This window comes from Homo sapiens, chromosome 15, assembly GCF_000001405.40.
Source record: "Homo sapiens chromosome 15, GRCh38.p14 Primary Assembly".
Taxonomy (NCBI): Eukaryota; Metazoa; Chordata; class Mammalia; order Primates; family Hominidae; genus Homo; species Homo sapiens.
The window spans coordinates 76,437,401-76,460,361 of NC_000015.10; the positions used below are offsets into that span (position 1 = coordinate 76,437,401).

At 37.4% G+C, this 22,961-nt stretch overlaps 1 protein-coding gene across 24 annotated transcripts in view; it reads right to left on the reverse strand.

Annotated features, from left to right (window-relative positions):
- The window catches only part of SCAPER (S-phase cyclin A associated protein in the ER), a 557,437-nt gene that overhangs the window by 89,497 nt on the left and 444,979 nt on the right, over positions 1-22,961 (reverse strand). For 3 of the 24 annotated variants that reach the window (XR_007064448.1, XM_047432628.1, XM_024449941.2), the window contains one exon: positions 20,020-20,712. The exons of 20 other annotated variants lie outside the window; for them this stretch is intronic. Coding sequence is in view for 3 of the 4 variants with exons in the window: in XM_047432628.1 (XP_047288584.1) it covers positions 20,683-20,712 (30 nt within the window). In the remaining variant the exon portion in view is untranslated. Of the gene's footprint in view, positions 1-20,019; positions 20,713-22,961 lie in introns of those variants that run through there. One more of the 24 variants, XM_024449942.2, reaches the window with a different exon arrangement.

Consider the following 22,961-nt stretch of genomic DNA (forward strand, 5'->3'; position numbering starts at 1 on the left):
TTCTTTGAGGGTTTATAACTTTCATCTATTTACTAGAATATTAGTAAGGCCTCTCGACAGAGAGAATGTAATTTATGTGTTCAACTGGCCATATTCTAAAATTAACTCAATAAATCCTCTAAAATACAACTTTCTTTTTCTTTTACACACTACACAAAGAATATGAGTAATACACTTCTAGGTAATGTCAGGGTTCTTCATTCATCACAAATTTTCATATTCCTTTTTCTCCAACAACCTTGTACTGTTTTTCATCATGAAGTATTTCAAATAAAACACTATGTATGCATGTCATATTTAGCAATCTTTCATTTATCTAGAAGTTTTTTTATCCAGTAACTGGAACTTTTAAAAATACAGTTGAGAGTCAACAGGAAATAAAAAAGACTTCTGAGATAATAAAATTGATGTCATTTATTTAAACACTTGCTCATCTAACATTTGAGTACCTAACACATACATAGTCAAGGGAGCAGACTGATGCTTTGCTCATCCTCAGGCTTTTGTCCAGACCCTAAAGATTCTAATTTCATAAAACTGTAACAAGATGTGGTTTCTTGGTTTATAGAAACAGAAGGAATAATATAAAAAAGAAAAATGGGCCGGGCACAGTGGCTCACGCCTGTAATCCCAGCACTTTGGGAGGCCGAGGTGGGTGGATCACGAGATCAGGAGACAGAGATCATGCTGGTCAACATGGTGAAACCCTGTATCTACTAAAAATACAAAAAATTAGCCAGGCATGGTGGCAGGTGCCTGTAATCCCAGCTCCTCGGGAGGCTGAGGCAGGAGAATTGCTTGAACCCAAGAGGCGGAGGTTGCAGTGAGCCGAGATCGTGCCATTGCACTCCAGTCTGGGCGACTGTGTGAGACTGTCTCAAAAAAAAAAAAAAAAAAAATTTAAGAATATATTTATGGGCTGTTGGGATAATTCTGGGTGAAACATACTAATCTCATTATTTAGAAACTGTAAATGTGGTTTGGGGACCAAATGTTACCTCCTCATCTGCCCCAAGAAAATAAGCTCAATGTAAAGCAAATCAGATATACAGTTTTACACTATTGTTATATTCTCTGCCTACAGCTGACCGGCAACTTTTGATTTTCTGTCTCACTGGGGGCTTTGTGCTTAATTTCACAAACACCATTTTGTCAGTTGCTCATAAAGTAAACACAAATGGAGAAACTTCTATAACAATCTAGCAGTTACACAAAGAATCCTTGTGGCCCTGCACTAGGCAAATCTCCCTTGTCAGGCTTGCTGGGCCAAATCCTAGGATCTCAGGCCCAGGTCTAAAGGCCTTTACTCTACTGAACAGTCCTACTTTCTCACCATGATCTCCTATTTTCCAACAGTCTCACTGAGCCTCACATCCAGTTCAAGCACCGAAGCAAATTTTTTTCATAGAAAATTTCATTTTTTCATTTAGATTGGCCCTTTCATTGTTAAAAACAGTGTTTTTCGCTTGGAACCTTCGGTAAAAGATTTTTTGGTCTGTCTCAAAGGACATTTTATTCAAATGGTCCCAGAAATTCTCCTTGTCCCTTTGTATAGATTTTTCTTTTGCTGGGTTTAAGTTATTTTACAGGAATGTTGTAATAGAAAACCAATGCTTCATCTAGAAAAGAATTTCAAAATTGCCAGAATTAAGGTAAGGAGGGGCTCATCTTCAGTGAGACAAAATGATTTTTTTTTTTTTAAGAAGATAGAGTCTTGCTCTGTCACCCAGGCTAGTGTGCAGTGGTGCAATCTCTGCTCACTGTATTCTCCACCTCCCCAGTTCAAGCAATTCTCATGCTTCACCTTCCCAAGAAGCTGGCATTACAGGTGTGTGCCATCAGGCCCAGCTAATATTTTAGTAGAGATAGGGTTTCGTCATGTTTGCCAGGCTTGTCTCAAACTCCTGGCCTCAAGCAATCCGACCACCTTAGCCTCCCAAAGACCTTCTTGTCTTAAAAATGAGATTTGACAAAAAGAAACTTCAAGGAGAAGGTATCTATACTGTAAATGACATTTTATTCAAAGCAGTATACTGCACTGCTGTCTTATGTCTAGTTAGGTATCACTGTTACTTGCCAGAGGTAAAATAGCTCACTTGTGAGCAGCCTGCTCTTTTGGGACACCTTTAATATGCATGAAATATGCACTTATGTGAGTGAGTTCTGATATTTGCTTATAGAGCAACACTTGAGTTTGAACTTACTTTCAGCACAGCTGCTGGGCCAAGGGCCTGTCCTTTGGGCAATGTGTGCAAGCAACCTCCTCCCTTCCCCCACTCTGCTCTATTACACACCTGACTTACCTGAGTCTGGAACACATTCCATTCTGGGGTGGGTGGTCTGTGGAGGGGCAGGGGAAGGTTACCTTCCCAGCATGCATCAGTGTTTGTAACTACCACCTGCTGGTATGTACCAAGCCTGGCCTGGGAAAGAGAGCTATGTAGCTTTTGGTCCTTCTGAATCTCTCACCCCTCAGGCAGAAATCTAAAACCATGCTTTCTTTTCAAATGGATGAAAGGTATTTCCTTTAGAATATTTCTTTAGAATACACTAGAGTGGTCATTATCTTACTCTTATAATAGCAGCTTATTATACAGTGATTTCATGTACATAATCTTATTGTAAAATTTCCCATTCCCCTCAAAAGATATTTGACCTTTTAAAAATTTGTAGATATTTCATACAGTTTTAGATATAGAAAAAAATCTTAGAATCAAATCTTTTCATTTTATCTTTGGGGAAACCAAGGTCCAGAGGAGAAAAAGACTTCCTTGAGGATACAGAAATCATCAGGGCTGGAATAGATACTGGTGCCGATTCTCTAAACTTATTCCAAAATGAAACCCAATGTTTATAGGACCAAGCCCTGAATCAAAATGTTTTCAGCGAAGTTAAATTAAAAGTCATTATAACTTTTAAAAGCCAAGCATGTATTCTTTTTTCCCATTGCCAAAGTGGTTTCAAATACTTTCAACATTCTTGTTTGCAATACAGAAAGATGCTTTTATTAGTAATAGAAATCTATTGTTCTGTAATGTGATTCCATGAGAGAGAAAATAAAATTAGTAATTACTGGTAATTCTGTACAACTATTTTTTAGTATTCTGAAGATAGGTTTACATATTTTCAAGCTGTACAGTGTATACAGAATGCTCAGAATATGAATTAGGTTCACTGAGAATCAATAAGAGATTGTTTAGAAAACTGTCAAGACAGTGTCAGAGTACAGAAAAAAAAGGCAAAAAACGTGGAAGGGCTCCAGCAGCAGACACAAGTTCTTATATTGTTGGCCTCATTTCCTATACGAAACAGTCACTAAACATGCAACAGTCTTTTTGCCACTGATATTTATAAAACGTGTATGCCCATGTTATATTATGCATAAAAATAGAACTGATGAAAGGTATTTACCTCAACAATTTACATGGCTTGAAAATATAAAAGGAAATCACATAGAAGTGGCTAGTAGTTCCTCACTATTATCTTTTAAAATTATTCCCCTTCTGGTTTTTTTTTTGTTTTTTTTTTTTTTTTTTTTGGGGACGGAGTCTGGCTCTGTCGCCCAGGCTGGGGTGCAGTGGCACGATCTTGGCTCACTGCAAGCTCCGCCTCCCAGGTTCACGCCATTCTCCCACCTCAGCCTCCTGAGTAGCTGGGACTACAGGCACCCGCCACCACGCCCGGCTAATTTTTTGTATTTTTAGTAGAGACGGGGTTTCACCATGTTAGCCAGGATGGTCTCGATCTCCTGACCTCGTGATCCACCCGCCTTGGCCTCCCAAAGTGCTGGGATTACAGGTGTGAGCCACCGTGCCCAGCCTATTCTCCTTCTTTTTATGCCACAAACAATGTTATGACAATATTAAAGAAGACACTGCAATTAATCCTAAATATCATTACCCTTTCTAACATATTTATGCCTTTGAGCCTATATTTATGCAGCCAAAATCCTAACAAGATAAAATGTCAGCAAACTTTATAGTGTATGCCTTAGTGGTCATGATGCTTACAAAAGTCTTCGTTATACATGTTGAATCATATACTTCCTCTGCTCAACACATTCCCTGGTATCTCATTTCCTGCAAACTAAAAGCTCCAAACCTCATGATGCCCAAGGAAGCCCTTCTGATCTATCCTCTACATCCATTCCTCCCCAAATTAATATACTAAGTCAGTCTGTCTCTTGCTCGCATTCTGGTATTTCCTCTGCCTGGAATATCTTTCCCCCAGGTAACCTCATGACTAATTTCTCCACTTCTTCTAGGTCTCTATTCAAATGTCATCTTATCCATAAGTTATGCCAGAGTGTCTTATTTAAAGTAATATTTCTCTCCCCAAACCTATCTTCCCTTTCTTGCTTACTCAACTTTATTTTTCTTCCAGTGCAATAGTTACCTCCTGACATACTGTACATTATTTCCTCTCTCTCTCAGAATATAAGCTCCACGAGAGCGAGACTTTGTCTTGATCACTGCTACAATCCCAGTGCCTACACAACATCAGACATGTAGTAGATGTTCACTAAATATTTTTTAAATGCATGTAGACACTGATTTTCACTAAAAAAAATTCACCAAACCAATAATTGGGATATTTAGAAGGTCCAAGTTAAAGAGAAAACCAGCATTAAATATCTATCTATCTATCTATATATACATGTATATATAGATATAGATATATATAGTATTTAGTCATCCTGGGCAAAGGTGTAAAGTGAATTAAAGGAAGAAAGGAATTTTGCACGCAAAATCCTTCTCTATGCAATATCCTACGTGTTCACCTCTTACTCCTGCTTCAGTTACTGTAGTCTATGAGGTACATCTTTTCTTTTCCCCACCCCCCAAAATAAGTTATGTGCCTCACTGTAATTCCCAAACACCTTGTACATGCTGTGCTTTACTGCAGCACTCATTATACTACATTTTAAATGTCTCTTACTGGTTTGTCCTACTAAACTGTGAGTTACAATTTGTCTCTGTAGTTCCAGTGCCTAAATATTTGTCCAATGAAAGAATGGGTAGGTTTTAGAGGCATTTACATAGCAACTTTGGTGTGTTGGGAGCACTGTCCTGGGAGGCCTGAGTCTCTCTCATTCTATCTCACCTGCTGCTACCAGCATGACTTGTGAGTATCCAGTTCCTTATGTATAAAATGAGGACATTCAGCTTTAATTAATATTTACTGAGAGTCCACTGTAAGATGGCAAGCTAGGTCCCCTTATACATATTTATCCATTAAATGTTTATAGCTACCCTCCAGTATATCTATTATTATGCCTATTATGCAAATGAGAAAACAGAGGCTCAGAAAGGTTAAGCAACTTACACAAGATCTTGAAGTCAGCAAATAATGTAGCAGCTTCTCAAATTCAAAACATCTGACTCCATGTTAGGTGATATACCCTAACACCATTATATCTTTCCTAGTATAAGGATGGACTCAATCTCTGAGACCTCTTTTAAGTCTCAGATTCTGTAGGTCTTTATTTATGAGTATGAAGTTATTCAAGTAATCTCATCTATCTGGAATACAGGCAAAAACCAGGAAATAATTTAAAAAACCAGTGAAAAAGGTGGTGGGGGCATGTGTATTGATGCAAATGAGAAGACAGATAAACAGCGAAAGTTGGGGTAAAAAACACCACCACTGAGGGAATCACCTTCTAAAAATAATGATAGATGGTGGACCTTGATGAATGGAGAAAATCAGAGACTCCCAGAGTTGGAAAGCCTAAAGTTGATTATCTAGTTCATCCTCCCAAACAGTGCAGGGGCTCCTTAATATAAGAGGTCTTCAAAATGTTTGTGAAAAATGTGTATTTTGAAAAAACTATGCATGGATTTCAATTATTTTTGCACCAAAATAAACTTACACCAACTTGTTATAACATGTCTGAAGAGGCTCTAGTTGGAAGCACAAAGAAAGATAAGACATCCATTTGAAAAGATCCCCTTTAAGAGCAAGACGAATTCTGCTAACATTGAAGCAAGAACAAACATCAAATTTATGGTGAAGCTTGGGTGGAAGAATTGTGAAATCACTGGTGTTTTACAAAAAGTTTATGGGGACAATGGCCCAAGGAAATCAGCAGTTTACAAATGGATAACTTGTTTTAAGAAGGGACAACATGATGTTGAAGATGAAGCCTGCACCAGCAGACCATCTACATCAATTTACAAGGAAAGAATTCATTTTGTGCTCTAATTGAAGGTGACTGATGATTAATAGCAGAAACAACAGCTAACACCACAGACTTCTCAACTGGTAGCTTATACAATTCTGACTGAAAAATTAAAGTTGTGCAAACTTTCCACTTGATGAGTGCCGAAACCATTGTGTCCAGCTCAGCTGCAGACAAGAGCACAGCTTTCAATGGAAATTTTAAACAAGGGGGATTAAGATCCTGAAGCACTTCTTGGAAGAACTGCAATAGGACATGGCTTTACCAGTATGATTCTGAAGACAAAGCACAATCAAAGCAATGGCTACCAAGAGGTGGAAATAGCCCAGTCAAAGCAAATGCGGACCAGTCAAGAGCAAAGATCATGGCAACATTTTGGGATGCTCAAGGCATTTTGCTTTTTGACTTTCTGGAGGGTGAAAGAATGATAACATCTGCTCATTATGAGTGCGTTTTGAGAAGGTTAGCCAGAGCATGAGCAGAGTAACACCTGGGAAAGCTTCACCAGAGGGTCCTTTTCCACCACAGCAATACTCCTGCTTATTCTCATCAAATGTAGGCAACTTTTCAAGAGTTTTGATGGGAAATCATTGGGCATCCACCTTTCAGTCCTGATTTGTCTCCTTCTGACTTCTTGTTTCCTAATCTTAAAAAATCTGTAAAGGGCCCCATTTTTCTTCAGTTAATAATGTAAAAAAGATTGCACTGACATGGTTAAATTCCCAGGACCCTTAGTTTTTTAGGGATGAATTAGGTGGCTGGTAGTACCACTTATAAAAGTGTCTTGAACTTGATGGAACTTAAGTTAAAAAAATAAAGTTCACATTTTTTATGTTCATTATGTAATTCAGTTTTTCCACAAGTTTTCCCTCTCTCCTCACTGCTGTAAACTAATCTTTCCCATTTTTAAATAAAATTTTGTTATTTCAGAACCATTTATGTTTAATCTAATTACCTATGTGTTAGGGCTTAAGTCCAACAATTTACCTTTTGTTTATTCTGTTTGTGGTCTGCTCTGCTTCTTGAACCCACACATTTACATCTTTTGCCAAATTTGGGACCATTTCAGCTACTATTTCTTCAAATACTTTTTCATCCCTGTCTTTTTTCTACTTCCATGAATCTGATGACATGAATGTTAGATCCCATGAGTCTGGTGACATGAATGTTAGATTTCTTGTTATGGCTCCATCAGTCCTTAGGTTCTGGTCACTTAAAACATTTTGGTCTGTTTTCTCTGTTGTTCTTCAGATTGGGTAATTTTGATCATTCTAACTTCAAATTCATTGATTCTTTCATCCTTTCTCCCCATTCAGTCATTGGAGCACATTCATTGACTTTTAAAATTTTGGATTATTATAGTTTTCAATTATAGCATTTCACTTGGTTATTCTTTATATCTTCTATTTTATTTCAATAGCTTTAGGGATCAAAGTGGTTTCTGGTCACATGGATGAACTGTATAGTGGTGAAGTCTGGGATTTTTGTGCACCTGTCACCCGAATAGTGTACACTGTACCCATTTCATCCTTTACCCTATTCTCACCTTTTCTCCTCCTGAGTCTCCATTGTTCATTATACCACTCTGTATGCCTTTGCATACCCATAGCTTAGTTTCCACTTGTAAGTGAGAAAATATATCTTCTATTTCTTTGCCGAGACTACTTTTTCATTTGCTTTAAGCATATTTGTAATTGCATGTTGAAGCATTTTTATGGTGGCTGCTTTAAAATCCATGTAAGAATTGTAACATCTGTTGTCTTTTCTCATTCAGGTTGAGATTTTCCTGGTTCTTTCTATGATGAGTGATTTTTAAATTATATTCTGGAAACTTTGTGTATGATAAGACTGTATCTTATTGAAATCTTGTTTTAGAAGACCTCCTCTGACACTGTTCTGATGGGGGGCAGGGAGTGTCACCTCATTACTGTCAGCTGGGGGTGAAGGCTGCCTCATTATCAGGTGAGGGCAGGAATTCAGGCTTCTGAGTTAGCCACCTGGAGATGGCATGTTACTGATATCACCACCTGGAGATGGCATGTTACTTGGTTTCCACAGGAGGGGTTTCCACATGAGGGGATGGGATAGGGCTTGTTACCACAGGAAGCTGGTGAGTCCTGGCATCTCACTTGGCCCCTTCTGGCACCATCCTGGTGACTGGGGAAGGAGAATCTCACTATCTCTCAGTAGGGGTAAAAAATCAGGCTTCCAATACAGTCTCCATGCACCCCGGGTGGAGGTGCATCATTACTGCTGGATGAGGATTAAAATCTCGATTTCCCACTCAGCCTTCTCTAACACCACCAAGGGATGGCGAGAGGGGCGTTGCATGAGTGCTTAACCCTTTCTTAAGACCTCTGATTCTTCCAGAGGTAATATCCACTCTTACTGCACAGGGAATTTTCTTGTAGAAATAGTGGTAGAAGGGGCAGTAGTGATAATAGTAATAGCAGCTAACATTTAGTGGGCACTTAATGTGAGGTTCCATGATAACAGCTCATCTGGATCATTTCACTTAATCGACACAACACTCTCACAAATCATAAATATTGTTATTCCTATATTCAGACAAGAAAACTAGGGTTCAGAGAGGTTAAATCACATCAGGGTCAGGATTTCAATCCAGGCTGTCTCACTTCTGAGCCTGAGTCTTTAACTATTGTAGTATACAATACTGAAAATTAATCAAGGTGACACGTGAAAGTGCTCAAAAATTATAAAGCACTAAACAAGCGTGATGGAAGTTTTATTACTATTTCCAGGGCACTGCAACAAGTGATCATGATTAGATAAATGAAAATCCAGGCTTCAACTGGTGCTAATGAATCATTTAAACATTGTTTCTCATTGCAATAGCTGCCCAAAAGACATGTTTCATAGCAAAAGCTGCACAAGAACCTGGGGAAGTTTTAGAGGTAGAGCTTTAGTGAAATACAAGTATCTATTATTTTCTCATAGGTTGTTTTTGCACATATAGGGAACTGAAATTTCCTTTAATCTCTTCAGGCAAGCTCAATAGAAACTTATAAGGACAGATGTGTTATGGATAATCACTAAGCTTTGCTATCCACTTTATAGGATGGAGATTAACATTCTGGAGAACCCCCTACAGTTTAAAGAGGCAGTTATGTGCATATCCTGAAGTAGACAAATTCATATGAAAAAGGAAATGTATGTCATCCATAATCTCATAATACTGTGAAATATATACAGACAGTCCCCAACTTGCCATGGTTCAACTTATGATTTTTTGACTTTATCATGGTGTGAAAGAGATACGCGTTCAATAGAAACCATACTTCGAGTACCTATACATCCATTCCCTGTTTCACTTTCAGTACATGATTCAATAAATTACATGAGACGTTCAACACTTCATTGTACAACAGACTCTGTTTTAGCTAATTCTGCCCAACTATAAGCTAATGTCAGTGTTTTGAGCACATTTAAGGTGGACTACGCTAAGCCATGATGTTTGTTAGGTCTGGTGTATTAAGGGCTGAAGGTTAAGCTGATCACCAATGGCTAATGATTTAATTGATCATGCCTATGGAATGAAGCTTCCATAAAAACCCAATAGGATAGGGTTTGAAGAGCTTCAGGAGCATGAAACACATGGAGGTTCTTGGAGGGTGGTGCACCTGGAGAGGGTAATCCATGCTTCTTTTCCTCATCCTATAAATCTCTTCATCTGTATCCTTTGTAACATCCTTTGTGATAAACTGGTAAATGTAAGTGTTTCCTTGAGTTCTGTAAGCCACTCTAGCAAATTCATCAAACCCAAGGAAAGGGTCATGGGGAACTCTGATTTATAGTCATTTGGTCAGAAGCACAGGTAAAACAACCTGAGACTTCTGATTGGCATCTGAAGTGGTGGACAGTCTTGTGGGACTGAGCTCTAAACCTGTGGGTATGATGCTACCTTCAAGTAGTCAGAATTGAATTGAAGTAGAGGCTCCCAGCAGGTGTTTGCTGCTGAAGGACTACTTGGCTTGGTGTGTGTGTCGGAAGACCCCTAAACATCTGAGGTCACAAACTCATTTTGTGTTGTGAAAGTATAGCTGAAACTGAGTTTGTTATTCCTATATTCTTAGACACCTATCTCTGAAATAATATTATTATCTGAACTACAAAACACATTAGCTTACAACAATTGCTTTCATTCATTGAACATTTTTTGAATACTATGTCCTCGACTCTGTGATAAACTCAACAGGTGAAGAGGAAAAACATGGTCTTGCCTCCCAGAGTTCACAGGTAAGTAAAATGTAATTCGAATTCCAGGTGATAAGTAAACTCATGGTCTTATGAGGACAGGTGCAAAGTGCAGTGCCTGGGGAAGGTAACCCCTGAGCTGAGTCTCACAGAAAGAGGAAAAACTTAGCCTGCTGGGATGGTGGTGATGTTGGGTAGTGAAGAGGACACATGAGGAAACAGCATGAAAGAAGACAGAAGAGAGTATGTGTGTTCAGGAAGCTGCAGGTTGCTGGAGATAGTTGGACTAGTGGTGTATGAGACTGTCAGATCACACAGGCCCTGCTATACTGAGGGGTTTAGCTCTCAATTCTGAGCATAAGGGGTAAGACAATGAAGGATTCTAAGCTAGAAGTGACATGAAAAGTTTTCATTTTTTGAAAAATGACTCATCACAATATGTAGGCTGCTATGGGAAGGGTTACAATTAACAGCAGGGAAGGAGGCTATTATATTACTTAGAAATGAAAGATGATGGGAAATGGAGAATAATCTAATTGACTGCATATTTAGGGAAAGGGGGAAAGAAGAGTGAAGGGAGGGATGGTTTAACTTTCCTAGGTTTCTGGCTTATATGGTAGAGTTGTTTACCAGGATGGGGAATGCAGTGGGGGAAGCCGATTTTGAGGGAGTATATGCCCAGTTCTGGGCATGCTAAGTTTCAGGGTTTGAAGATGCTGACTTGGGACCATCGGTGTATGAGAAAACAGCTGAAACAAACGGCATGCTGTTTGTTGAAACAAACAAACACAGAAACCCTGTTTATGAAGATTGTACAGTTTGGTAGGAGAAGGGGAGGAAGAAAACTAAAAAGGTATTCTGAGACATATCAACATTTGCAAAATGGCCTAGCAGGAGGAAAGTCCAGAGGGAGATTTTCTACAAACCAAAGGAGGGGAGACTTTCAACTTAGAATCTACTGGTGATCTTGGTGAAAGAACTGAGTGGCATGGTGGTAGAAAAAACCGAACTGAGTGGGTGAATAGTGAATCTGCAGTGTGGAAATGAAAAGAATGGATGCAGACAGCTCTTTAAGAGGTTTGGTTGTGACAGGAAAGGGTGATAAGTATTACCAGAAGCCAGTGAGTTATCATCTCTCTTCTACTGGACAGCACTTAGTGATGTAACACAACAAAGCTTGATAATGCTGACACTTGACAAATGATGGCATAATTTTTGGCAAAGTTTGGACAGAAGCACACACAGGAATGAAAAATACAAACGTGAGTCTTGGGATGGGTAATCTGATCCAACATAGAATCCAGATATTACCAAGTTATTCATAGGCAGCAACAAATGGTCTTCAAAATAATATCATTTATTTTTCTATAAAGGCCTATCAAATATCTACTAAACCATATGTGAAATACATGATTTTAGAAAAAGTTTTGGTCTTACTCTTCCACAATATTCATTTGGGGGAACATATCTCCATAACTGACATTTCTTATTTCATGTAGTAAATCTCAAAGGAGGAAAGAGCATATGTAATTTTAAACATGTACTCTACAGATTTTGATCTGTATTCTATACCTTAGATGAAAGTCTTTGCCCTAGAAAGTCTCTCTGGGGAAGCAATTCAGCTTAATTCAGTAAATATTGGCTTAAGGTGTGGAGGCATAAATACTGAATTTTAGTATGGCTTCCCCACTAACTTTGTATGTGGCCTTGTATGAATGATTTAATCCCTTTGAGTCTGTTTTCTCAACTGTAACTTGAAATAGTTATATGAGATAATCTTTAAGGTTTACAGCTCTTGATATTCTATAATTCTATGACAAGTGGGTACAAGGTTGCTTAATTGGCCCTTATTTCCCTCTATCTGGTGATTTTCAAGGGCATGTATAAAGTTTTCCTCCACGCCTCTTGCACCAGCACTTACCAACTTGTTTCCTCAAATCTCCCTCTGCCTAATTCCTACTGAGGTTTGGCTATCAATACCACTTCCTTAATGAAACTTTCTCCAACTTTCCTTTTAAAGGAATCTCTCCCTCCTCTGACCTCTTGGAACAGCTGATCTTTACTTTGCTTATGACACTTTGTTTTTAACATCCATGTCTTATCTATTCTATTAGACCAGAAGTTGGCGATTATTTTTTTCTGTCAAGGGCCAGACAGTAAATATTTTATGCTTTGCAGGTTATACAGTCTCCATCACAACTACTCAGTTCTACTGTTGTAAGAAGAAAGCAGCCTTATGTAAACAAATGCTGTATTTTAATACAACTTTATTTATAAACAGGTAGTGATTTGGCCTGTGGATCTGAATCTGCTAACCCCTGTGCTACACTGTATCTTGAGAGCAAGCTCCACACCATATTGTCTCTGTATTCCTTGTGATGTCTACTATAGCATATTCTTGTCTGAAAAGGGCACTCAAAAGTGGAAGAAAGTGAATTAAATTACGTTCACTTAAAATATAAGGAAAGCAAATCAATAGCTTTTTTCTTGATGTTATACATATCAAGACACTGAATTAAGAAGGTAGCAGTGTAGTCTGAAAGAACAGATACAAAATTCTATGAAGATGGCGTATTCCTTAAGCTCTCCGGCTTATTTATTCCCCTCAATAATTCAGTTACTGTCTTTACATTGCTGCCTTTTGGAAAGAGTATTTTTTTCCCTTCTAAATCTAGTACAATGAAGTATAAGATGAAGTATATCCTTTACCTAGACTCACCAATTGATAACATTTTGCCACATTTGTAAAAGCATATATATACACATATATATTTTGAGATGGAGTCTTGCTCTGTTGCCCAGGCTGGAGTGCAGTAGCCCAATCTCGGCTCACTGCAACCTCCACCTCCCTGGTTCAAACGATTCTCGTGCCTCAGCCTCCTGAGTAGCTGGGATTACAGGCATGTGCCACCACGCCTGGCTAATTTTTTGTATTTTTAGTAGAGATAGGGTTTTGTCATATTGCCCAGGCTGGTCTCGAACTCCTGGGCTCAGCGATCCATGCACCTTGGCCTCCCAAAGTGTTCGGATTACATGCATGAGCCACTGCACCTGGCCTGTAAACACATATTTAAAAAATACATTTTATTGTAAAATGCACCCATTTGAAGTGTACACTTGGATTAATTTTGACATATACGCGTCTATGTAAGAACCATCATAATCAAGATACAGAACACTTTGATCATCTCCAAAAGTTTCCTTGTGCCCCTTTGAAGTCAATGTTCCCTTTTGCCCCTGTGGGCATAGGCAATCACTGATCTGCTTTGTATTATAAATGACTTTGCATTTTCTAGAATTTCAAATAACTGCAATCACACAGTAGGTAGATTTTTGAATCTGGCTTTCTGCAGTATGAATAATGTTTCCATGAATTCTGAATAATTCATCCATGTTGTATCAATAGTTCATTCCTTTTTATTGCTAAATATTCCACTATGAATATGCCTCAATTTATCAGTTCACCTGTTCGTGGACATGTGTGTTATTTAGGGATTTTACTTATAAATAAGGATGCTAAGATCATTCCTGTACAAGTCTTTTTGTAGAGAAATGTTTTTCATTTTTCTTGGAGAAATAGCTAGGAGTGGGATTGCTGGGATGTAGGGTAAGTGTATGTTTATAAGAAACTGCCAAACTTAAAGCACACTTTATAAAACACAGGAGTTTGTTAAACTATATTGTCAAGGCTTAAGAGAAAGCAAGTTATCTTTCAACGAATGCAACTACATACTGAAGTGTGGTCTATGTTAAGACTTTTGCCACAGTCAGAAACGTTAATGAGACCTAATATTGCTGCTTTTTCCTCTCTAAACAGACTGCTTTAACAGGTAAGAATGAACTGAACAAGAGCAGAGGCCAACCATAAAGAATGCTTTTAGTCCATTTCCCACATCTCATAAAACCCCAAGAGGAGTGGGAAAGGGCACAGAAACAGGAACTTAGCTGTGTGTATGACCTTAGAATGTCTGATATTACTATTTTCTTTCATTTACTGGAAAAGACAGAAGACTTACTGCTTCATGCCTTGCTATATGTAAATACAAACATGACAACACTGGGATGTAAGCTTAAAGAGGGCAGGCTGTGACTGCATTATTATAGGGTATTGGGAAAGGTCTAATCAGGGTTTCTCTGTATTTGCCATTCTAATTTCTACACATACCCCCACACCTGATCCACTTCTATTCTCTTTTCCTCTTCATTTTATCTCCTTCCTTAACCTCCCTCTTCTCTCTGTCTCATTCTTCTTCCAGTTCCTACTATTGTCTTCCTTTTAGTCCCACTATTCCATTTTCTCTCATCTCTCTGCTTTCTGAGTATATGTACACATGTGTATTGTATGAATCTTACCCTTGTTAGGTTTCTTAATTTCAAGATTCTGTTCTCAGTCTTTCAAAACAGCAGTTACCAAGTCTTGTATTTCCAGGCTTGTTAGACACAAAAGAACAGAACTATTCCCTTGCATTGCTGATCCTGGCCTTTGTGCCTTTCAGTTGTAGTAGTCTTTTCCCTGCAGCTATACTGTGAACATTCTACACAAGATACCTGGGATACTATGGGTTTCCCACCTGGCTACTGGGATTGCCCATTTTCCTAAATCTTCATATTAAATAACATCAGCGTTTTGTTCAAATTGGCACAAAGTATACACTGAATAGCTGTCATCCCCTTCGAGGAATTTTCATAGTATGAGTTAGGTGTTTTAGAAATTCCTCTGCAAGGATTTTAAATGTGTTTCAGTGATATAGCTAAACAGTCTACTATGAAAGCTTCACTTTCCTTTCATAAGAACAATCATTTTCCCATAAGGAAGACATTTTAAGTTGAACGCCGTATTTCAGCTCCAAGAAATAAGCCCTAGTTTTAAGTTATTCTGTGTTTCAGCTATTGAGGTCAATGTATGTAGCTGATGGAATCACAAAATTCTTATCAACTCATTCCAGGTTTCCAAAACTTTTATTTTTGTATTTTGTTAAAATATTTGTGTGTTTTTGTGTGCATATAGCCTCAACTATTAGAATAACTGCAAGTATAGTTCAAAGAACTTTTTTTTTTTTTAGAGATAGAGTTGCCCGGGGTAGAATGCACTGGTGCAATTATAGCCTACTGCAACCTCAATCTCTTGGGCCCAAGTGATCCTTCTACTTCAGCCCAGTGAGTGGCTGGGATTACGGGTGTGTGCCACCACACCCAGCTAAATTTTTAAAAAATGTTTGTAGTGATGGGGTCTTGCTATGTTGCCCAGGCTGGTTTCAAACTGCTGGCCTCCAGCGATCCTCCTGCCTCAGCCTCCTGAGTTGCTGGGATTACAGGTGAGAGCTACTGAACCCAGCTAAGAGGACCTTTTTCCCTGAACCTTGTGAGGATACTCACATGATGCCCCATCACCACTAAATACTTTTGTGTATTTCCAATGAAGGGACATTCTCCTACATTACAAGATATTCATCAGTCAGGAAATGAACACTGATTCTTTGTCACCATCTAAACCTCAGAGCCCATTCAAAATTTGCCAGTTGTCCCATTAATGTTGTCTATAGCAAAAGGATCTGGTTCAGAATTGTGTTCTAATTAGTTGTCATGTCTCTTATTACTACCAGTCTAGAAAACTCCTCAGTGACTCCTTGAACTTTCATGATTTTCAAACTTTTGAAGATTACAGGTTATTTTGAGGTATGTCCTAAAATTTAGGTATGTAGGATGTTTCCTCATAATTAGATTCAGATTATATTATCTTTGGCAGAAATATTACAGAAGCAACGCTGTGTTATTTTCATTGCAGCCTATCAGGTAGCAGACAGTTCTGATTTGTGCATAACTGATACTGTTTACTTTGATCATTTGGTAAGGTGGTGTGTGCCAGGTTTTTTCACTAGAAAGTTACTCTTTTACTTTGCAATTAATAACAATTTTGTAGGAATATACTATACTTTGAAATTAGGCAAATATCCTGTTTCTCAACAAACATTCATTCTTCTTGGGAGATGGGTATGGCATAAGTATTTAATAAACAAAATAAATACTTCTCTCTCACTGGTAAAAAGTGGCAGAAAGATACTTGGAGAATGATCCGAGATACAGGTCTTCCTGCTTAAACTGACAGATCAGTTATCATCTGTGTCTATTTAAAATACAGGGCATTATTTTCCAATATGTAGTAGTACAGTAAGTACATTCTTTCCTCATATTTGAAACCTGAGAGACAAGCAAGCATCTGTAGGGAAAGAGCTAAGGCTATGTCCTATTATCACTGACTTAGTATCCTTCACTAGCGGATCCCTACTTATGTCACCGGCTAGAGCTCTCACCACTTAGCACCCATCCCCCTTCCTTTCACTTGGGTTATAAATTTTGCTAAGGATGTTTTTTTTTCTTATTGTTTTCTTAGATGATCACATTACTACTTATCCTTCAGGTCTCAGTTTAGATATTACTTTCTCTAGGAACTTTCCTCTGACCCCTGAAAATCAGCACTGTCCTGACTCATCATAATCCTTAAGAGATATTGTATTTGACCGCTTGTTTGAGCTATCCACTGATCATAAATTCCAAGAAGACTACAACTGTGGCTTTAATTTTTTAAGTAAAATTTAAATAATTTAACGGGAATAATATCAATACATTTAATTTATTTTTGGCTCTTCTACTATCTCATTCCCCATCTCCCTAACCTAGTAACCATTATCATGATTTTGTGTTTATCATTCCCTTGCTTAAACAAAGATTTTATTACATAAATGTGTCCCTAGAGAATATAACGTTTAGTTTTGCTTGCTTTCACACTTTGTAAAAATATCTCATTTTTATAATTCATTGAATTTACTAATATTTTTAGAATTTTGACATCTTGGTTCATGAGAGAGACTGGCTTGTAATTTTTTTTCTTGCACCATCCTTGTCTGGTTTTGTTACCAAGGTTATAGTGGTCTTAAAAAAATGAACTGTGAAGAAATCACACATTTTATCTTCCTGGCATAATTTAACATTGAAATGATCTTGTTCCTGGAACGTTTGCTGGAAGTTGGCCATAGCATTATTTAGGCCTGGTGCTTTTTTTTTTAATAGGTAGATTTTAAATAATTTATTTAATGGTTAAAAAATTATTCAGGCTTTCTATTTCTTCTTGAGTTAGTCTGGTGAGTTATATTTTTCTAGGAATTTAAATTCGTTAAAGCTTTCAAATGCACTGGTATAAAGCTGTTCAAAGTATTTTCTTAACTTTTTAATTATTCCTCAACCTGTAGTTAAATTTCCCATTTTATTCATTATTTGTGCCTCTTCTTTCTTCTTGATCAATTCTAATTTATGAAGCCTAAGTACTTAAGAATTTACCATTTTTAATGGTTTTGCTTTAACTGCATCCCAAACATTTTGATATGCAGTATTTTCATTGTTGTTATTTCCGTTCCTCCAGCTTTACTGGCGTATAGTTGACAAATAAAAATTGTATATACTTCAGGTGTACAACTCGATGTTTTGATTTCACTATTTTTCCATTTTAGGTTTTAAAAACTTGTAGTTTATTGCTCTTGAGTTTATTATGGGAATCTCTAAATTTCTAAATGTATATATGGATCTTTATCTTCATTGGTTTCTACCTTAACTGCATTATATTCAGAACGCACTAATTGTATAATACTTCTATTTAAAGGTATAAACTTTCCTGTAAGCATTGTTTTTTTTAAAGAGCTGGGTCTCGCTATGTTGCCCAGGCTGGAAAGCAGTGGCTATTCACAGGTGTTATCATAATGCACCACAGCTTTGAACTCTTGTGCTCAAGCAATTCTATCTCAGCCTTCTGAGAAGCTGGAATTATAGATGTACACCACCACACCTAGTATTTTTTAACTTTTTTAATTTTTATTTTTTATTTTTATTTTACTTTAAGTTCTGGGATACATGTGCTGAACGTGCAGGTTACATAGGTATACACGTGCCGTGGTGGTTTGCTGCACCTATCAACCTGTCATCAAGGTTTTAAGCCCACATGCATTAGGTTTTTGTCCTAATGCTCTCTCTCCCTTTGCCCCCCAACTCCTGACAGGCCCTGGTGTGTGATGTTCCCCTCCCTGTGTCCATGTAATCTCATTGTTCAACTCCCACTTATGAGTGAGAACATGCCGTGTTTGGTTTTCTCTTACTTTGCTGAAGATGATGGTTTCCAGCTTCATCCATGTCCCTGCAAAGGACATGAACTCAGAATTCTGTTTTATGGCTGCGTAGTATTCCATGGTGTATATGTGCCACATTTTCTTTATCCAGTCTATCATTGATGAGCATTTGGGTTGGTTCCAAGTCTTTGCTATTGTAAATAGTGCTTCAATAAACATATGTGTGCATGTGTCTTTATAGTAGAATGATTTATGATCCTTGGGTTATATACCCAGTGATGGAATTGCTGGGTCAAATGATATTTCTGGTTCTAGATCCTTGGGGAATTGCCACACTTTCTTCCACAATGGTTGAACTAATTTACACTCCCACCTGCAGTGTAAAAGCGTTCCTATTTCTCCACATCCTTGCCAACATCTGTTGTTTCCTGATGCTATATTTTCATTGAAAATACTTTTCAGTTCAAAATATTTTCTCATTTCTTTGTGAATTTGTAGATACATAATATTGAGTTCTAACTTCATCCCACTGTCTTCAGAGGACATATTTTCAATGATTTCAAGCTCTTTAAATGTATTAAAACTGTCTTATGGTCCAGCATATAGTGTATCTTGAACATCCTCAGTATGCTCAGAAAGAATGTGTGTATTCTACAGTTGCTAGGTGCAGTGATCTACAAACATCAATTAGGTCAAAGTGGTTGATAATGGTATTGTTCATATCATGTATATTTTTACTGATTTCTTTGGTCTAGTTATTGTATCAGTTGCTGAAAGAGGTCTGTTAAAATATCCATCTCTGAGAATGGAAATTCTCATATGGAAATTGTTTCTTTCTCCCTTATATTCTGTCAATTTTTGCTTCATGTATTTTGTAGTATACACATTTATGACTGTTATATCTTCCTGTTGATTTGATATCCTATTAATAGGCAATGCCTCTTTGCATACTAATACAGTGATATTAAATTCTACTCTGATATTAATATAGCTACTTCTTATGCTTACTATGTATGTCTTTTTATCCACTTTCAACCTGTATTTATATGGGTTTGGTCTTTATATTTTAAATGCATCTCATGTAGATAGAGCACATGGTTAGGTCTTTTTATCCATTCCAGCAGTTTCTGCCTTGTAACCGGAGGGCTTTACACACTTTTTTTTTTTTTTTAGATGGAGTCTCGCTTGGTCACCCAGGCTGGAGTGCAGTGGCACAATCTTGGCTCGCCGCAACCTCCGCCTCCCGGGTTCAAGTGATTCTCCTGCCTCGGCCTCCCAAGCAGCTGGGACTACAGGTGCCTGCCACCATGCCCAGCTAATTTTTTTGTATTTTTAGTAGAGAAGGGGTTTCACTGTGTTAGCCAGGATGGTCTCGATCTCCTGACCTTGTGATCCGTCGGCCTCGGCCTCCCACAGAGCTGGGATTATAGGCATGAGCCACCACGCACAGCTGGCTTTATACATTTAATTATTGACACATTGGGTTTAGGTCTACTGTTTTATTATTTCTTTTCTGTTTGTCCCCTCTGTGTTTTATTCTCTAATTCCTTTTTTCCTTTCTTCTTTTGGAATATCCTTTTGGAATATCTGAATATATTTTAGAATCCTATTTTAATTTACCATTGGCTTCTAAGTTATTTTGCTAGTGGTTGCTTGAAGGAGTTACAACACACAACCTTAACTTCTCACAGTCTCCTTAAGCTGGTATTGTAGCACTGTGTGTAAAGTGTAGAAAGCTTGTAAGCTCATGGGTTCATTTTCTGTCCTTCCCATTCTCTATATTATAATAATATGCAGTACACTTTACATATGTCATAAACTCACAGAACAAAATGAAAAATTTAACTTTTAAAGTAAAATTTGACTTTTAAAGTAAAATTTTAAAGTAAAATTTAACCATCACATGTATTTTTTAAAATTTTAAAATAAATACAGAGTCTGTTTCCACTGCTCTTTATCATTTCCTGAAGATAGAAATTTTCACTGGGTATCATTTCCCTTCAGCCTGAAGAACTTCCTTTAGCATTTCTAGTAGTGCAGGTCTGTTGTCAACAAATTCTCGGAGGTGTATATATATTTAATATGAAAATGTATTTATTTCACATTTATTCTTGAAGGATATTTTGATGGATATAGAATTCCAGATTGATGTTTGTTTCTTCTTTAAGCACTCTAAAGATGGTCACTGTCTTCTGGCCTCTGCTAAGAAGACATTATATGAATTATTTACCTATATGAAATTTGTCTACTTTCAAGATACTCTCTCTTTATATATTCTCTCACTATATATTCTCCTTATAGATATATATACACACACACACATATACCCACACATACAGACTCCACATACTCCATTGTGTGTGTGTGTGCGTGTATATAAAGGGAAAGAGAGAGAGAAAAATTATATATGTAGAGAGAGAAAATCATATATAGAGAGAGAATATTTTGAAAGTGTATATATACACACACATATATATATATCCACAAATACAAACATACACACACACACACACATATATATACACATATATACACACACCCTTTTAGCAGTTTGACTATGATTTGCCTAGCTTGATTTTCTTTGTATTTAGACCTTTTGGAGTTTCTGAGCTTCTCTTTTGTTTCTAGCTTTAAAAACCCAATATATAATATTTGTACATTTCATGGAGTACATGTGGTATTTTGGTCATGTGTAATGATCAAGTCAGGATATTTAGGGCATCTATTACCTCAAGCATTTATCATTTCTAGGTGCTGGGAACATTTCACGACCTGTCTTCCAGCTATTTTGAAATATACAATACACTGTTGTAAACTACGGTCACCCTGCTCTGCTACTGAACACTGGAACTTATTCCTTCTATTTAACTGTATGTTTGTACCCATCAACCAATCTCTCTTTTATCTGCCCCTGTCACCACACACCCTTCCAGGCCTCTAATAATAACTAACTTTCTACTCTCTATCTCCATACGATCAACTTATTTATTTATTTATTCATTGAGACAAGGTTTCATTCTGTTGTCCAAGCTGGGATGCAGTGGCATAATCAAGGCTCACTGCAGCCTTGACCTCCTGGGCTCAAGCAATCCTCTCATCTCAGCCTCCCAGGTAGCTGGGACTACAGGCATGTGCCACCATGCCTGGCAAATTCTTTTTTATTTTTTGTAGAGATGGACTATGTTGCCAAGGCTGGTCTCAAAACTCCTGGGCTCAAGTGACCCTCCTGCCTTGGCCTTCCAAATTGCTGGGATTGCAGGAATGAGCCACTGTGCCTGGCTGAATTAAACTTTTTTTAGCTCCCACATGGGTCAGAACATGTGGTATTTGTCTTTTTGTGCCTCGCTTATTTCACTTGACGTAACGACTTCCAGTTCCATCTACGTTTTTGCAAATGACAGGATGTCATTCTTTTCTATGGCTAAGTAGTATTCCATTATGTGTGTGTGCATATATACATATTCTGTATATATTCTAACTGGAGTAAGATGACATCTCATTGTGATTTTGATTTGCATTCTCTTGATGATTAGTGACGTTCAGCTGTTTTTCATATACCTGTTGGCTATCTGTACATCTTATGTGAAATATCTATTCATGTCTTTTGCTCACTTTTTAATGGAATTATTAGGGTTTTTTTTTTTTGCTGTTGTATACTCTGGATATTAATTGCTTGTTGGATGAATAGTTTGTAAATATTTTCTCCCTTTCAATAGTTTGTCTCTTCACTCTGTTGATTGTTTCCTTTGCTGTGTAAAAGGTTTTTAGTTTAATATAGTCCATTTGTCTATTTTTGTTGCCTGTACTTTTGAGGTCTTAGCTATAAAATCTTTGCCTAGACTAATGTCCAGCAGAGTTTCCCTTATGTTTTCTTCTAGCAGTTTTATAATTTTAGTCTTTTGTTTAGGTCTGTAATTCATTTTGAGTTGATTTTTGTAATGGTGAGAGATAGGGGTCTAGTTTCATTATTCTGCATGTGGTTATCCAGTTTTCCCAGCACCACTTACTAAAGAGGGTGTCCATTCCCCAGTGTATGTTCTTGGCATCTTGTCAAAAATCAGTTGGCTGCAAATAAGTGGATTTATTTCTGGGTTCTCTTTTCTCTTCCATCGATCTGTATGGCTGTTTTTATACCAACATCATGCTGTTTTGGTTACTGTGGCCTTGTAATATATGATTTTTTTTCTGTTTCTATGAAAAATGAAATTGGTGTTTTGATAGGGATTGCACTAAATCTGTAGGTTTCTTTAGGTAGTATAGTCATTTTATTACATTAATTATTCTGATCCATGAGCATGGATATCTTTCCTCGGTCCTCATCAGTTTCTTTCTCAGAGTTTTGTAGTTTTCCTTGTAGATGTCTTTCACCTTTTTGGCTAAATTCATTCCTAAGAATTTTATTTTTATAGCTATTATAGAAGGGATTGCCTTCTTAATTTTTCAGCTATTTC